The 1,584-nt window shown below is 47.5% G+C and overlaps 1 long non-coding RNA gene across 2 annotated transcripts in view; it reads right to left on the reverse strand.

Annotated features, from left to right (window-relative positions):
* Positions 1-1,584, reverse strand: part of LOC105375957 (uncharacterized) — a 45,278-nt gene that overhangs the window by 17,170 nt on the left and 26,524 nt on the right. Inside the window, exon 1 of one of the 2 annotated variants that reach the window (XR_929435.3) lies at positions 798-992. The exons of the other annotated variant lie outside the window; for it this stretch is intronic. This is a non-coding gene — a long non-coding RNA (uncharacterized LOC105375957). Of the gene's footprint in view, positions 1-797; positions 993-1,584 lie in introns of those variants that run through there. 2 annotated transcript variants of the gene reach the window in all.

Consider the following 1,584-nt stretch of genomic DNA (forward strand, 5'->3'; position numbering starts at 1 on the left):
CACAAAAACAATTCCTCCTATCCCCCACCAAAGCAGCCCACAAAGATATCTCCATCTCCTGAGCTTTCAGAGAGTGTGCTGTCTGGCAAGAGAGATGATTTAGAGTATCTGGTAGAAAAAATTTCTAAGCAGCAAAGCGTTCAAAGAGGTGACTTGGGTGCTGTTAAAGGCATTCAGATTTAAAGGGGAAACAAAGCATAAAAGTTCCAAAAATTTGCTGCCTGACAATGCAACAGAAAGGAAAATTCCATTTTCTGAGGAGAAATTCAAGCTGCCTGCAGAAATCTGCCTAAGTAACAAGGAGCCAAATGTTAGTCATCAATCCAATGGGGTAAATGTTTCCAGGGCATGTCAGAGACCTTTGCAGCAGCCGCCCCCACCCCGCCCCCGGCCGCTGCCATCACAGGCCCAGAGGCTTAGAGGGAGAAAATGATTTTGTGGCCCAGGCCCAGGGTCCCTCTGCTGTATGCAGTCTAGGAACTTGGTCCCCTGCAACCCAGCTGCTCCAACTATGACTAAAAGGAGTCAAGGTACACCTTGGGCTTTTGCTTCAGAGGATGGAAGCCCCAAGCCTTGGCAGCTTCTACATGGTGTTGAGCCTGCACATGCATAGAAGTCAATAACTGGGGTTTGGAAACCTCTGCCTAAATTTTGAGCATGTATGCAAATGCCTGGATGTCCAGGCAGAAGTTTGCTGCAAGGGTGGGGAGCTCATGGAGAACCTCTGCTAGGGAAGTGCGGAAGGGAAATGTAGGGTCAGAGCCCCCACACAGAGTCCCTACTGGGGCATCACCTACTGGAGCTGTGAGAAGAGGGCCACCATCCTCCAGACGCTAGAATGGTAGATCTTCCAACAACTTGCACTGTGTGCCTGGAAAAGCCACAGACATGCAACACCAGCCCACGAAAGCAGTCAGGAATGGAGCTATACCCTGCAAAGCCACAGGGGCAGAGCTGCTCAAGGCTGTGGGAGCCTGCCTCTTGCATCAGCGTGACCTAGATGTGAAACACCGAGTTAAAGGAGATCATTTTGGAGCTTTAAGATTTGACTGCCCACTGGATTTTGGATTTGCATGGAGCCTGTAGCCCCTTTGTTTTGGTCAATTTCTCCCATTTGGGATGGCTGTATTTACCTAATGCCTGTACCCCCATTGTATGTAGGAAGTAACTAACTTGCTTTTATTTTACAGAGTCATAGGCAGAAGGGACTTGCTTTGTCTCAGATGAGACTTTGGACTATGGACTTTTGAGTTAATGATGAAATGACTTAAGACTTTGGGGGACTTTTGGGAAGGCATGATTGGTTTTGAAATGTGAAGACATGAAATTTGGGAGGGGCCAGGGGTGGAATGATATGGTTTGGCTCTGTGTCACCACCCAAATCTCATCTTGTAGCTCCCATAATTCCCACATGTTGTGGAAGGGACCTGGTGGGAGATAATTTAATCATGGGGATAGGTCTTTCTCATGCTGTTCTCATGATAGTGAATAAGTCTCACAAGATCTGATGGTTTCAAAAATGGGAGCACATGCTCTCTTTTTGCCTACTGCCATCCATGTAAGACAAGACTTGCTTCTCCTTAC

Source organism: Homo sapiens, chromosome 9 (assembly GCF_000001405.40).
Source record: "Homo sapiens chromosome 9, GRCh38.p14 Primary Assembly".
Classification (NCBI taxonomy): domain Eukaryota; kingdom Metazoa; phylum Chordata; class Mammalia; order Primates; family Hominidae; genus Homo; species Homo sapiens.